Source organism: Homo sapiens, chromosome 10, assembly GCF_000001405.40.
Source record: "Homo sapiens chromosome 10, GRCh38.p14 Primary Assembly".
Classification (NCBI taxonomy): Eukaryota; Metazoa; Chordata; class Mammalia; order Primates; family Hominidae; genus Homo; species Homo sapiens.
The window spans coordinates 58,457,597-58,470,927 of record NC_000010.11 but is presented as its reverse complement, the minus strand read 5'-3'; the positions used below and the strand labels follow the sequence as shown (position 1 = coordinate 58,470,927).

The following is a 13,331-nucleotide window of genomic DNA, read 5'->3' as shown; positions in this document are numbered from 1 at the left end:
AGATAGACAGTATCCTGAGTTATAAAATAAAGTTTAACACATTTAAAAGAATTGAAATGATACAAGGTTTATTCTCTGACTATACTAGAATTAAACTAGAAACTGATGATAGAAAGATAACAGGAAATCTCAAAAACTTGACAACACACTTCTAAATAATCCATGCATTAAAGAAGTCTCAAGGGAAATTAGAAAATATTTGGAACTAAATGAAAGTAAAACATACCAAAATTTGCCAGATGACAAAGCAGTGCCTAGCGGGGAATTTATAGCATCAAATGCTAACAGAAAGCACCTTGAGAAACCCAAAAAGAAGAGCAAAATAAACCCAATGCAAGCAGAAGGGAAAACATAATAATGCAGAAATCAATAAAATTGAAAACAGAAAAAGAGAAAGTCAATACAACCAAAATCTTGTTCTGTTAAAAAATTAATAAAATTAAAATTGTATCAAAATTGACAAAGAAAGAAGACATACACTACTGATATCAGGAATTAAAAAGAAAATATCACCTAGACCCCAGCATACATTAAAAAAACAAAGAACTTATACAAGCAATTCCGCACACAAAAATTTGACAACCTAGAAAGAAAAAATGGACAAATGCCTTGAAAACCAAAAATGCCAAAACTCACCCATAATGAAACAGATTATCTGAATAATAGAATAATACAAAAAATTAAATAAATTGAATTCATAGTTTAAAATCTTCTGGAAATAATTCATCCAGCATTTCTATTTGTTTATATTGGTAAGATTTCAGGTTATCTTAGCTCATATATTACCAGCAGTGAAACTCTAAGTTGTTCTGTTTAGTTTTTTAAGCCAATTTGAGTTGAGTTTTCTGTTATGTGAAGAAACAGAAAATAGTGTTATCTCCCAAAACACATCAGAATTTCTAATATTAACCAACCTGTACCCTTCAGAGGACATTTTGATGTTTCAGAATTCTAAAAACACCGTTAAGTTTGTGGAGCTCAAAATAGTATTATAGCTGTTGAGTGTCCAAATACAATACTGAAGTGACTCCGAGAAGTAATTGTAGGAAGCCTGGAAGCAGTGGTAGCCCTAGTAGTAGTAGAGTAACAGTACTTGTGGGTAAGAGATATTAAGTACTTATCTGTGGCACTCCACGAAGAACTGAATATATGAAATACCACTGTACAGTTTTATACATGAGTAAATGGAAATACAGACAATAAGACAAATAAATAAAAACACAGATAAAGTACCACGTAGAATTTTCTGGAGAATAGTTTTCTTCCCAGCCTACAGCCTGGTTGTGCTCCTCCTGCTCTGGAGAAGAATGGATTTAAAAGAATTGTCATTTTTCCCCACCCATAGGAAAATAGCTGAAACAATACATATTTAGTTTCCCAGGGAGTGCTTCCAGCATGAGAAAAACCAAGTTATGGCAGAATCAAGAACCTGCCAATACCAAAAGTGAGCTTTGTTCTCCAGCCTGGACCTGCCTTTTTCATAAATTAGCCCATAGATTCACCATCTGTATTTGCACGCACACACACACACACACACACACACACAACTAGCCAGGAATGGATGCACAGTGTCTATGGCAGAGAGCTCCCAGCTTAACAGGAGGGCTGTATCAATGAGATGGTCAGTCTTTGAGCTGATACAACAATAGTCTTCAAAAAGAACATGCACATTCCCCTTGTTCACTTATTGAAACAGAACCTTGAAAGCACTGCTATGCAGTGTCTCACAGTATGCCCATAAACTTTTGCTAATTTCAAGAAACTACTGCCATTAATCTCCTCAAATTTGATAGGAAAAAAATTATATACAAGTGGGCCGGGCGTGGTGGCTCATGCCTGTAATCCCAGCACTTTGGGAGGCCGAGGCGGGTGGATCATGAGGTCAAGAGATTGAGACCATCCTGACCAACGTGGTGAAACCTCGTCTCTACTAAAAAAAAAAAAAAAAAAAAAAAATTATATGCAAGTGAACTGAAAAAACAAACAGATGAGCACCATTTATTTCTACACTTTCTCCATTCTAATGAGGCAATGGTCCAAGAAACCACATTCCTGCCCTTGTAAATCAACTGCCAACATGAATGTGATTCTTCAGCTATGAGAAAATGTCTTCTAAAGGGTACAGGTTGGTTAATATTGGAAATTCTTGTGTACTTTGGGAGATAACACTATTTGCTCTGATAAGGACTAGTACTTTTTTCTTCCTTTTTATCTGGACATGTCAAGAATCAGTCATGTCATTTTGCATTTTTCCTTTTTCTTCCTCTCACCCTTGCCCCCTTTGGGATTCATGCCAGTAACATGTTTTCCTGATACAGCAGTGAATGTAATCCAGTATTGACATTTCCTATGTTAAATAAAAGTTTGAGACTTAGGAAAAGTACACATTTAGGAATAATAAATAAAAGTTTCAATGTGGAGCAGCTACAAAGCAAGAGTATACTAACCGTACCAATCCAAGTGTATAGCTTTATGACTTTTAAATCTCTTCTTGTAAATAAATTCCCTAGTGTTAGGGTTTACACTTCAAATGAAAAGAAGATGGGTGGATAGAAAGAAAGAAGACAGAGAGAGGGAAAAAAGGAAGGAAAGAAGGAAGGAAGGAAGTTAGGAAGGAAGGAAGGGAGGGAGGGAAGGAGGGAGGGAGGGAAGGGAGGGAGGGAGGGAGGGAAAGGAAGAATGCAGGCAAGTGAGGGAGGAAGGGAGAACTCCAAGTGCGGATTCAAGGCACTTGAGGGAGTAAGCCAACTCTGAATGGCAAAAAAATAAACTACAGCTAACTCTGGAATTTCCAGCTACCTATTGGTTACTGTTTGGAGAGAATTATTGACAGATGGATGTTTACTCTCAGCAAAAAAGCTCCTGTTTTATGAGATTGGTGAGCTTTATGCCTGGAATACAGATGGTTATCAGTAAATTTTTAGTAAATGAATGAGTGAGTAAATGTACAAATTTCTTTTTTTATGTTCATAAAACTGAAGCCTACAGATGTTTAGTGAGTTGCCCAAAGTCATATAGAAATTCCTAGGTGCTTGAAGTATTCTAGATGGAAAATTTAAGAAAGATCACCAATTCAGACCTAAGAGATCTAGATTCTTGTTGTGAGTTTGTTTTGTCATTTCACCTCTCAGGACCTCTACATTGCAGAAGGCAGAGACTCATCTATGTTGTTTTCTCTTGTACCTTCAATGCTTAACACAGTGTTTGGCATATACTAGATGCTCAATAAATATTTAAATACTTACCATTTTCCCATCTGTAATATTTAGTTTGCCTGTATGAAAACTGAGGAGGTTGGCCGTAAGGCTTTCTGAGTGCGTCTTCCAATTCTACCCCTCTGTGGGAGAGGATCTCTGCTTCCAGTCGTTTTTCATACCCTACTTTCTAACTTCCACTGCTCCAGTTGCATGGGAAGGCAAACACAGGTGGGTGAGGTTCCAACATCCTTTCTCCAATGTTATATCATCATCCCTCTGAGCTCTTATTTCCACAAGAAAAACCACAAAAACACAATCTTAATGGAAAACAGTGAATCAATCAATTACTTCATTGTCTATTTTGTAAAATTAGTTCCAGAATCACCACAGACCTCCCAATCTCCAAACCTCAGCAGCCAAAGATTCCCCAAACTTTCACATTAGGTGTTCCAGCCACTCTTCCCTAGAGGGATACTCAAGCCCCTGTGACATTCCTTCTCCTTGTCTTCTGTGGGAGCAGAGGGGAACTCAACAGCAATAAGCAGCCTGGGAAAAAAATAGCAGCCACAATGCTCCATTTATTATAGGATGGTGTCTTGAGGGAAACTTAACTCTCCCATACTCCTAAGGTAAGTCCTTCTCCCTCCTTTCATGACAATTTCCTAGCCAGAAAAATAGTAGCAAAACCTGTACCACAAGCAGGAGAATCTGTCCAAGTGTCAGCACAGCCTTCCTATGGTTCGAAGAGGGAAAGGGCTCACCCACCCAGAAGATGCATGTTTCTCCTCTTTTGACAACTCCCTTCCTGAGAAGGAACAGCCCTGGCAGGGGCTATTCCTCTGTGACTGTGAAGTAATGTGGAGTATTCTGAGGAGGGCCCTGGTCAGGAGTTCAAGAATCCAGTTTACCTCCGACAGACTATGTGACCTTGGAAAATTCATTTTTCTCCAAGCTTCAGATTCCTCCATTTTTAAAATGGATTTTCCCTTTTAAATGATTATAAGATTCCTTTTTAAAAACATTTTTCTTATTTCATAAATAATACACAATCACTGTTGACATTTTTAAAAGTATGGATAAATTAAAAGAAAAAATAACAATAATTCACAATCTTACCACCTAATGATTGACACTGTTAGCATTTTTATGTATTCCTTTTGGTGAGACTGCTTGGGATTTTAGCATCACTGAATATATATCTCCCAGTGAGAGTTGCCTCTTCAAAGCCTTTCCAAGCCTTGCACATGTACCAACAATGCTGCCCATAAATTAGGAAGTTGGGGAACTGCTCTTCGGTAACTCACTCCCTGTAGACTGTGACTCTGTCTTTGGAATGTCCTTGGTAATAATAAGTCATCTGAGGGTCGTAGTGATTATTGGAAGAGTCATTTGAAGACAAATTTACATGATTGGAAGAATGATCAAGCTGAGTACCTCCATTTGTTTTTCTTTATTTTAAAGTCATTCCTATAAAGTTTAAAGACTTTTTCATGTTTCTCTGGTGTTTTCAAAATTTTTGATGTGTACGTTTACAGAAGGAGAGGAATAAATTTCATTATTTTGGAGCAACATTTCTCAAAGTGCGTTCTATAGCACAGCAGATACTGGAAATGCCCTCCAGAAAGAGAGTTCTCTGATCAAAGGAGTTTGGAATAAACTACACACTCCATCTAGTTCCTTAAAGACTCACAAAGAACACTGAATATATTAAAAGCTCTGAGATTTCTCCACAAATAAAGCCCTTTAACTTTAATTAACTGTAGTTTCTAAACTTATTTCAGTTTAAGACACTTACTTGGGAGGTCTCATGAGACTTATTCACTGTCACAAGAACAGCACAGGAAAGACCTGCCCCTATGATTCAATTACCTCTCACTGGGTCCCTCCCACAACGTGTGGAAACTATGGGAGCTACAATTCAAGATACGATTCGGATGAGGACACAGCAAACCCATATCACATGTGAAATATAAAAGTGGAAGCAGCAGTGGGAAGAGCCTTGTAGGAACTTCCAGTCTCCAGCTCCAGTACAGAGAAGCCATCCTTGACTATGTCTCCCAGCGGCCCTTGGGAAGGCAGCCTGCAGAATTAGGGAGGAGTCACAGGGTGAAAGAATCTTCCAGCTGAAATTTGTAACAATTTTGACTGGGCATGAATTTTCTTGAGCAGAATTCAGGGTGCGGGCAAATGGGAATTGCTGCAGATATGAGTGCAGGAGCTGCTGCTGACATTGTGGGCAGAAAGGGAGGGGCAAGGCCTGAAAGCCATTCTTGCCTTCTTAGTGGGGAAACTATGGCCTGGAGAAGGTCTGAGTTCCACATGCAGGCTGCCTGGATCTAAACTCAGTGCTGTTGGCAGGGCACTGTGGGAGTAAGACTGGCCTCACTAACTACATGGGAGCTGGATGAGGCCTTTCACTACCAGCTATCCCCCACTTCTGTGGCAAACTATATGACACAACAGAGGCAGGCATAATGCCCTCTGGAACATAACCCCATTGGCCTGAGAACTATCCCCCAACCCCTCACAGTGGCCATGGCAACCCCCACCCAAGGAGAGTCTGAGAACAGACCCGCCTAACCCTACCGCCACCTAATGGTAGTTCTCTACCTGCCCTGGTAGCTGAAGACAAACACATAAACTCTTAGGAGCTTTATGGTCCCACCCATTGCTTGAGAAACCAGAATACTTCCCCTGGCCAATTTAGGGCAAACCCAAATCCCACTGCTAATACCACAGCTGGTGCTCTCTTGAAAGCACCACCTCCTGGTTGAAGGCCAACCAACTCAGGCCATTATAGCAACTCATGACAGAATAACCTTCCGTCCAGGAAGGAGAAAACTATAGCTAAAACAACTGCCTGAAACTTCCTAGCTAACTAGAGATCCTGAGGGTGTCCACATGACAACTTTACTACTAGCAAAATCAGCATTTGAGAAAACCAGCACACTAAACATATCTACAATCAAGGATTCTCACAGAGTCTCCTTCACTCCCCTGCCACCTCCACCAGATCAGGTGCTAGTATCCATGGCTCGGAGACCTGAAGATGGATCACATCACAGGACTCTTTGCAGATATTCCCCAGCACAAGCCCAGAGCCTGGTAGCCCTGCTGGATGGCTAGACCCAGAAGAGTAACAACAATCATTGCAGTCTGTCTCTCAGGAAGCCCCATACCTAGAGAAAGGGTATGGAGATTCCCTAAAGAACTAAAAGTAGAACTACAATTAGATCCAGCAATCCCACTGCTAGGTACCTACCCAGACAAAAAGAACTCATTATATGAAAAAGACCCTTGCACACACATGTTTATAGCAGCACAATTCACAGTTGCAGAAACACAGAAGTGGCCTAAATTCCCATCAATCAATAAGTGGATAAAGAAAATGTGGTATGTATATACCATGGAATACTACTCATCCATAAAAGGGAATGAAATTATGGCATTGACAGCAACCTGAATGGAGCTGGAGACCATTATTCTAAGTCAAGTAACTCAGGAATGGTAAAACAAATATTGTATGTTCTCACTTATAAGTGGGAGCTAAGATATGAGGACACAAAGGCATAAGAATGATATAATAGATTTGGGGGACACAGGGATAAGGGTGAGAGGAGGGTGAGGGATAAATAACTACCCATCAGGTACAGTGTACACTGCTCGGGTGATGGGTGCACCAAAATCTCAGAAATCACCACTAAACAACTCTTCCATGTAGCCAAAAAACCACCTGTTCCCCAAAAGCTATTACAATAAAGTAAAAATTTTATAAAATATAAAATCAATATTTTTAAGTGTGTGTCTATACTAGTGGGAAAAAAAAAGAAATAACAAGAAAGAGTACATTCAAAGCAGAAAGCAACCCAAAAGCCATTGTTTATTAGGGGTCATCTACAAGTCTCTAGTAGCAGACGGCTTGGGATTAATGGCCCATGCTCAAGTGACAAAATGCAAACCCTGAAATCAGTGCATTATGGAAGGTTGATCCATAGACCACTGAATACATTCAGGAGCTCCAAGAGACAATTAGGTCAATGGATGAAGCAGGGGAAAGATAAACCACACAGAAGTGGGTGGTGAAAAAACTACTACCACTACTACAGTGAGATATCTCATCCTAGTTAAAGTAGCTTATATCCAAAAGACAGGCAATAACGAATACTGGCGACCATGTGGAGAAAAGGAAACCTTGTACACTGTTGGTGAGAATGTAAGTTAATACAGACACTATGGAGAATAGTTTGGAGGTTCCTCAAAAAAAAAAAAACTAAAAATTGAGCTACATATGATCCAGCAATCCCATTGCTGGGTATATACCCAAAAGAGAGGAAATCAGTATATCAAAGAGATCTCTGCATTCCTGTTTGTTGCAGCACTGTTTACAATAATTAAGATTTGGAAGCAACCTAAACGCCCATTAACAGATGAATGGATACAGAAAATGTGGTACATATACACAATGGAGTACTATTCAGCCATAAAGAAGAATGAGATTCAGTCATTTGCAACAATATAGATGGAACTGGACATCATTATGTTAAGTGAAATAAACCAGGCACAGAAAGACAAATATCACATGTTCTTACTCATTTAAATGAGATTCAGTCATTTGCAACAACATAGTTGGAACTGGACATCATTATGTTAAGTGAAATAAACCAGGCACAGAAAGACAAATATCACACGTACTTACTCACTTACTGATTTGATTTCTAAAATCAAATCAATTGAACTCACGGACATAGAGAATAAACAGATGGTTACCAGAGGCTGGGAAGGGTAGCATGAGGTTGTAGGGGGAGGTAGGGATGGTTAATGGGTACCAAAAATAGTTAGAAACAATGAATAAGACCTATTATTGGCTGGGCATGGTGGCTCACGCCTGTAATCCCAACATTTTGGGAGGCCGAGGTGGGTGGATCATGAGGTCAGGAGATCGAGACCATCCTGGCTAACACGGTGAAAACCCATCTCTACTAAAACTATAAAAAATTAGCTGGGCATGGTGGCGCACACCTGTAGTCCCAGCTACTCGGGAGGCTGAGACAGGAGAATTGCTTGAACCCAGGAGGCAGAGGTTGTGGTGAGTTGAGATCGCACCACTGCACTCCAGCCTGGGCAACAGAGTGAGACTCCATCTAAAAAAAAAAAAAAAAGATCTATTGTTTGATAGTACAATAAGGTGACTATAGTCAATCATAACTTAATCATACATTTTAAAATAAAAAAGTATTGTCCAGGCGTGGTGGCTCACGCCTGTATTCTCAGCACTTTGGGAGGCCGAGGTGGGCAGATCACAAGGTCAGGAGTTTGAGACCAGCCTGACCAACATGGTGAAACCTTGTCCTTACTAAAAATACAAAAATTAGCCAGGCGTGGTGCGCACACCTGTAATCCCAGCTATTCAGGAGGCTGAGGCAGGGGAATCGCTTGAACCCAGGAGGCAGAGGTTGCAGTGAGCCAAGATCATGCCATTGCACTCTAGCCTGGGTGACAGAGTGAGACTCCATCTCAAAATAAATAAATAAATAAAAGAGTATAATTGGATTGTTTGTAAGTCAAAGGATAAATGCTTGAGGGGATGGATACCCCATTCTCCATGATGTGCTTAGTTCACATTACATGCCTGTATCAAAACAGGCATGTACATGGGGTACATCTCATGTACCCCATAGATATATACACCTGCTATATACCCACAAAAAAAATTTTTTAAACCTTACAAATTAAAAAAAAAAAGAAGAAGCAGATGGTGGAAACACTTGGCTATCTCAGCCTTAGGTCTACATGGTACAGAATAAAAGAAAAAAAAATCCCCTGATAATTTCCAACTCACACAGGTCTGGAGCCAGAACTCATACTGCCAAAGCAGCCCAAAAAAAAAAAAAAAAAAAAAAACCTAGCTGAAAAAATTAGGCTAAAAAGACTTCAGGTTGATGGTGCCATAAACACCCGATAGAAGCAAAAGCCAATTATCTATTGGGTAATAAACTTAAAGACAGGCCTCAAAGATGTTCCAGAGGGATATGAGTACACAACTAAAAAAGTCACTAAGCGCACTAGAAAACAAGTCATCACAAGCTACAAAATCAGCCTGAGACAACAGATGCTGAAATGATCAGATAGCAAATATAAAATAAGTTTTAGAAACCACAAAAAGTAGTCGAAGTATCAACATTGATGAGACAAAGAGAAAAAATACAAATAAAGTATCTAAAAATAAAATTTAATCATTAAAATTTGAACCTCAAAGGAAGGTTTAAATATTGGTTTAGACACAGCTGAAGGGAAAATCAGTGACTTTGAAAATACACCTGAAAAGTTACACAAAATGAAGCACTTTACATGAAGAGACTGACTAATACACCACAACAGTGGGAAATTTTAATGTACTTTTCTCAGTAATTGATAAACAAAGCATATGAAAAATTAGTAAAGATATGGAAGATTTGTATTACATAATTCACTAGTTTAGATTTTTGTGAACTGACTGCCTCCTGAAAGAAATGACAGTATCGGCTGCCAGTCATCCCTTAGTGTGAATTATTTTACCTGGTCCTTTTCCTATGACAGGTAGCTTAAAATGATTCTGAGCAAAGAGGATTTTAAACATATCGCCAGCCTCATTTCCTTCAAGAAACACTCCCAGAAGACTACACAGCAATTAGCTTTGGTGAGGCTTATATTTATGTACCTTCTGGTAACTTAATATTGGTTACTTTATGTAATTCTAGTTATTTTTTATTTTTTGTTCAGCTTCCAACATAATATTAATATATGCCCATCATTAAACACTTGAAAACTACAGATAAGCCCTCACCAAAAAGAAAGGAAGAAAAGTGAGCCATAATCCTATCAGTCCTGTATAGATAAGCATTGCTAACATTTTATTATATATAGTCGTTTCATTTTTTAATGCATAATTTTATTCATTGACTGTTTAGCACTCACCATATGCATCACACCGTCCTAGCACTCGGCAAAGGTAATAAAAAGTCAAAGTTCCTGTCCTCATGGCACTTACATTTTCTACATTTTTATATGGGTAAATATTCATACTTTGAATTTCAAAACAAATAAGAGGGAAAAACTAAATGGGATAATCAATAATTATTCATGTTATTTGTGTATCTGTTATTTTCCCACTGAGAAACCAGTTCCTAAGAACCAGATGGCATTAACCATGGTATTCTTCATATCACCTGGCAAAGCAACCGCTTATAGAAGACACTTAACAAAGTTTTGTGAATCCAGAAGTTGAGGTCAAAGGGAGCAGGGAAAAGGCAGGAGGCTTTTGGAATCATGGTTCCCTCTCCTCTTTGGGCAGGTACTAGTTTAATGATAAACCAGTTCTCTGGATGGGAGAGAGGGAAGCCCTGATTTGTAGTGTTTACTGATTTCCATGGTGTAAATACTCACACATGGGCAATTTCAAGCTTCCAATGTTACATCATTGAATATAGAGTTTAGAAAAAGTGCTTGTAATTGATTCTCATGAGCTGGTACAAATTGGCTCCAGCATATCATGGCTTGGCCCTCACTGAACCCTTGCATCCTCTGCCTCTTAGAGTTCTAGCAGTGAGTGCCGTGGGAAATGGGAGTTCTCTCTAGAGGAAAAGGAGAGCACAGAGACAGAAGGCTGGGATGCCAGAGACCAACTTCACCAACTCCTCTTTTTGGTTGAATCTGTTTTTCTTTTCAGAATCCTTCTGATATTTAGGTTATCAGAATTTCCTAGAACAAATGGAAAACTTACTATGCACAATACTGTGGTGTTGCATGGGATACAAAAACACAGAGACGTGATTCCCGTTCTCCACAAGTTCACTATGTAGCGGGAAGAGGATCAGACAGGTTGCTAAGATATCATTTTAAAAACTGGTAGAGAAAATTAACTTTCTCAAAGATATAATTTCTCATGGGGTTTCGAACTCATTATAATAAGGGCTTTTGTGTCAGAAACATATAAAATCAAAACCCTTAATCTGCCACTTACTAGTACTATGATCTTAAGCAATTGATTAATAACTCTATGTCCTTGCCTCATAGGTTGTTGTGAGAATTAAATGAGACAATGTGTGGAAATTCAATGCATGGTGCCTTGCACATAGTAAGATTCAATAAATACCAATAAGAGTATTACTAGCAATAGTGTTTGTAATACCATATAAACAAAGACAACAAAACATAAAAGCCTGGGGCTATGTTTTAGCCAGTTCTCCAGGGAAACAAAACCATTAGGATATGTATATACATAGAAAGAAATGTATTTTAAGGAATTGGTACACATGATTACGGAGGCTAGCAAGTCCAAAATCTGCAGGGAAGACCACTGGGCTGGAGACCCAGGAAGAGACAATGTTGCAGTTCAAGTCTGAAGGCCATTTATTGGCAGAATTTCCCTCCAGAAGAAAGTCAGTCTTTTGTCCTATTCAGGCCTTCAACTGATTGGATGAGACCCACCCACGTTATGTGGCGAGCAGTCTACTTTACTCAAAGTCCACAAATTTAAATGTTAATCTCATTCAAAAATACTGTCACAAAAAATATCCAGAATAATGTTGAACACGTATTTCAAAATTATTAAAATATGCATCAACATGGCCCAGCCAAGTTGACACATAAAATTAACCATCATGGGCTGATTATTTCAGGGATTACCTGGGAATAAGGTTTTATTAAATTAATGGAAGATAATATTAGAGAATTATTTATTTTTGGAGGGCACTGAGAGCCAGGCTGTGGGGTTTGCACTTGATTTTATGAATGACAAAAATCAGTAAAGATTTAGTGACATGATCTGAGCTGCACTTAAAGAAGATCAAACCTAAATTATTGCCACTTGCACCTACAGGCTTGGTAGCTTCTGCTGATATTTGGATAAATAAAAGTAATAGTGTGTGTGGCCACAGGACCTGGATGGTCAAGAATTTGCCTTCAGGGATCTCCCTTTGGCCTTATCCCCAGGGATGATTTTCCTCCAAAACAGGCAGTGTATGTTTTCCTGAAGCTATACAAGTCTTTTCCCTTTCTTACTTTGCTATTCCTTGGCTAGCAGAATTACTCTAAAAATAACCTTTAAAAAGATCCCAAACCAATGAGTATAAGAGTTATCTAGGAATCAAGGAGGCATACTAAGGCTCAGCAAGATAAGCCTGCTTCTCTGGCACAGCCTGTAATTTGTTTTTCCAAGTTTGGTGGTAACCACATCATTAACAATAGCTTTATACATTTCTGACTAACTTGTGTAAGAGGCACTGTTTTTCAACTTTGTTGACACATGAAGCAAATAAGCTGTTGGAGAAGTCTGTTGCACAACTGGAAACAAAATGGATCTCAAACAGTTTACAACGGCTGGGAATCAGGGTTTGGGAGGTGGTCCAAAAATCCCTGCTTCCTGTTGAAAGCACATTCAGCTCAGTGGGATACGTTTGTCTGGTTGTGATATGTAAGTGGTCTCTGTGGTGTATTTACACTTGAAATTTTCACTGATTCCTGTTATTTCAGACCACATACACCCACACAACTATGGTTATTTAGAATCCCTAACTGGAATACATCAGGAGTAATTGCATTGGTATGCCATCTTTTGTTGATAATTGGAAACTTTTGGATGCAACACAAGAAGTTAACAAATTCCCTTGAACTTAGCCATATGTCTGAAGAGTTGTAGCAACAATAATTTTCTGCATATCACTAGCTGGAACTCAAGAAGGACTTTTGACTACAGCACAGGTCTAGCCTTAATGGTCTTTAGAATATTATTTCATAAACAGAAACAAGATTCTTGCCTGATGAATTATTCATAGACCTGGATGAGAACTCATATTGCACAAGATCTATTCAAAGGGCCTTTCTTTTATTAAACTACAGTCAGGCCACCAGGCAAAGATAAAGGTTTCTGTTGCAAGACAAATGAAACACCCCCATGCAATTTATCACGTGTACTGATTCAAACTGGAGGACTCAATGTGATGTTAAATATTTTCCACATCTGATTATACAAGTGACAGAGGAAACACAGATGGAGATGATTGTGCTTTGGATGTATTTGGGAAAACTAGGAGAGTTTATTATTTAGTATATCACATTTCCCTCCCTTAAATACTAGTGAAGGAGACATTCTCTAGA

The 13,331-nt window shown here is 38.8% G+C and overlaps 1 long non-coding RNA gene across 6 annotated transcripts in view; it reads right to left on the bottom strand.

The window, feature by feature from the left end:
• LOC105378316 (uncharacterized) overlaps window positions 1–13,331 on the bottom strand; it is a 69,554-nt gene that overhangs the window by 32,552 nt on the left and 23,671 nt on the right. For 5 of the 6 annotated variants that reach the window (XR_945981.3, XR_945983.3, XR_945984.3 and 2 more), the window contains 2 exons: window positions 3,590–3,743; window positions 3,246–3,514 (listed from right to left, as the gene is read on the bottom strand). This is a non-coding gene — a long non-coding RNA (uncharacterized LOC105378316). The remainder of the gene's footprint in view (window positions 1–3,245; window positions 3,515–3,589; window positions 3,744–13,331) is intronic. The other variant, XR_945982.3, reaches the window with a different exon arrangement.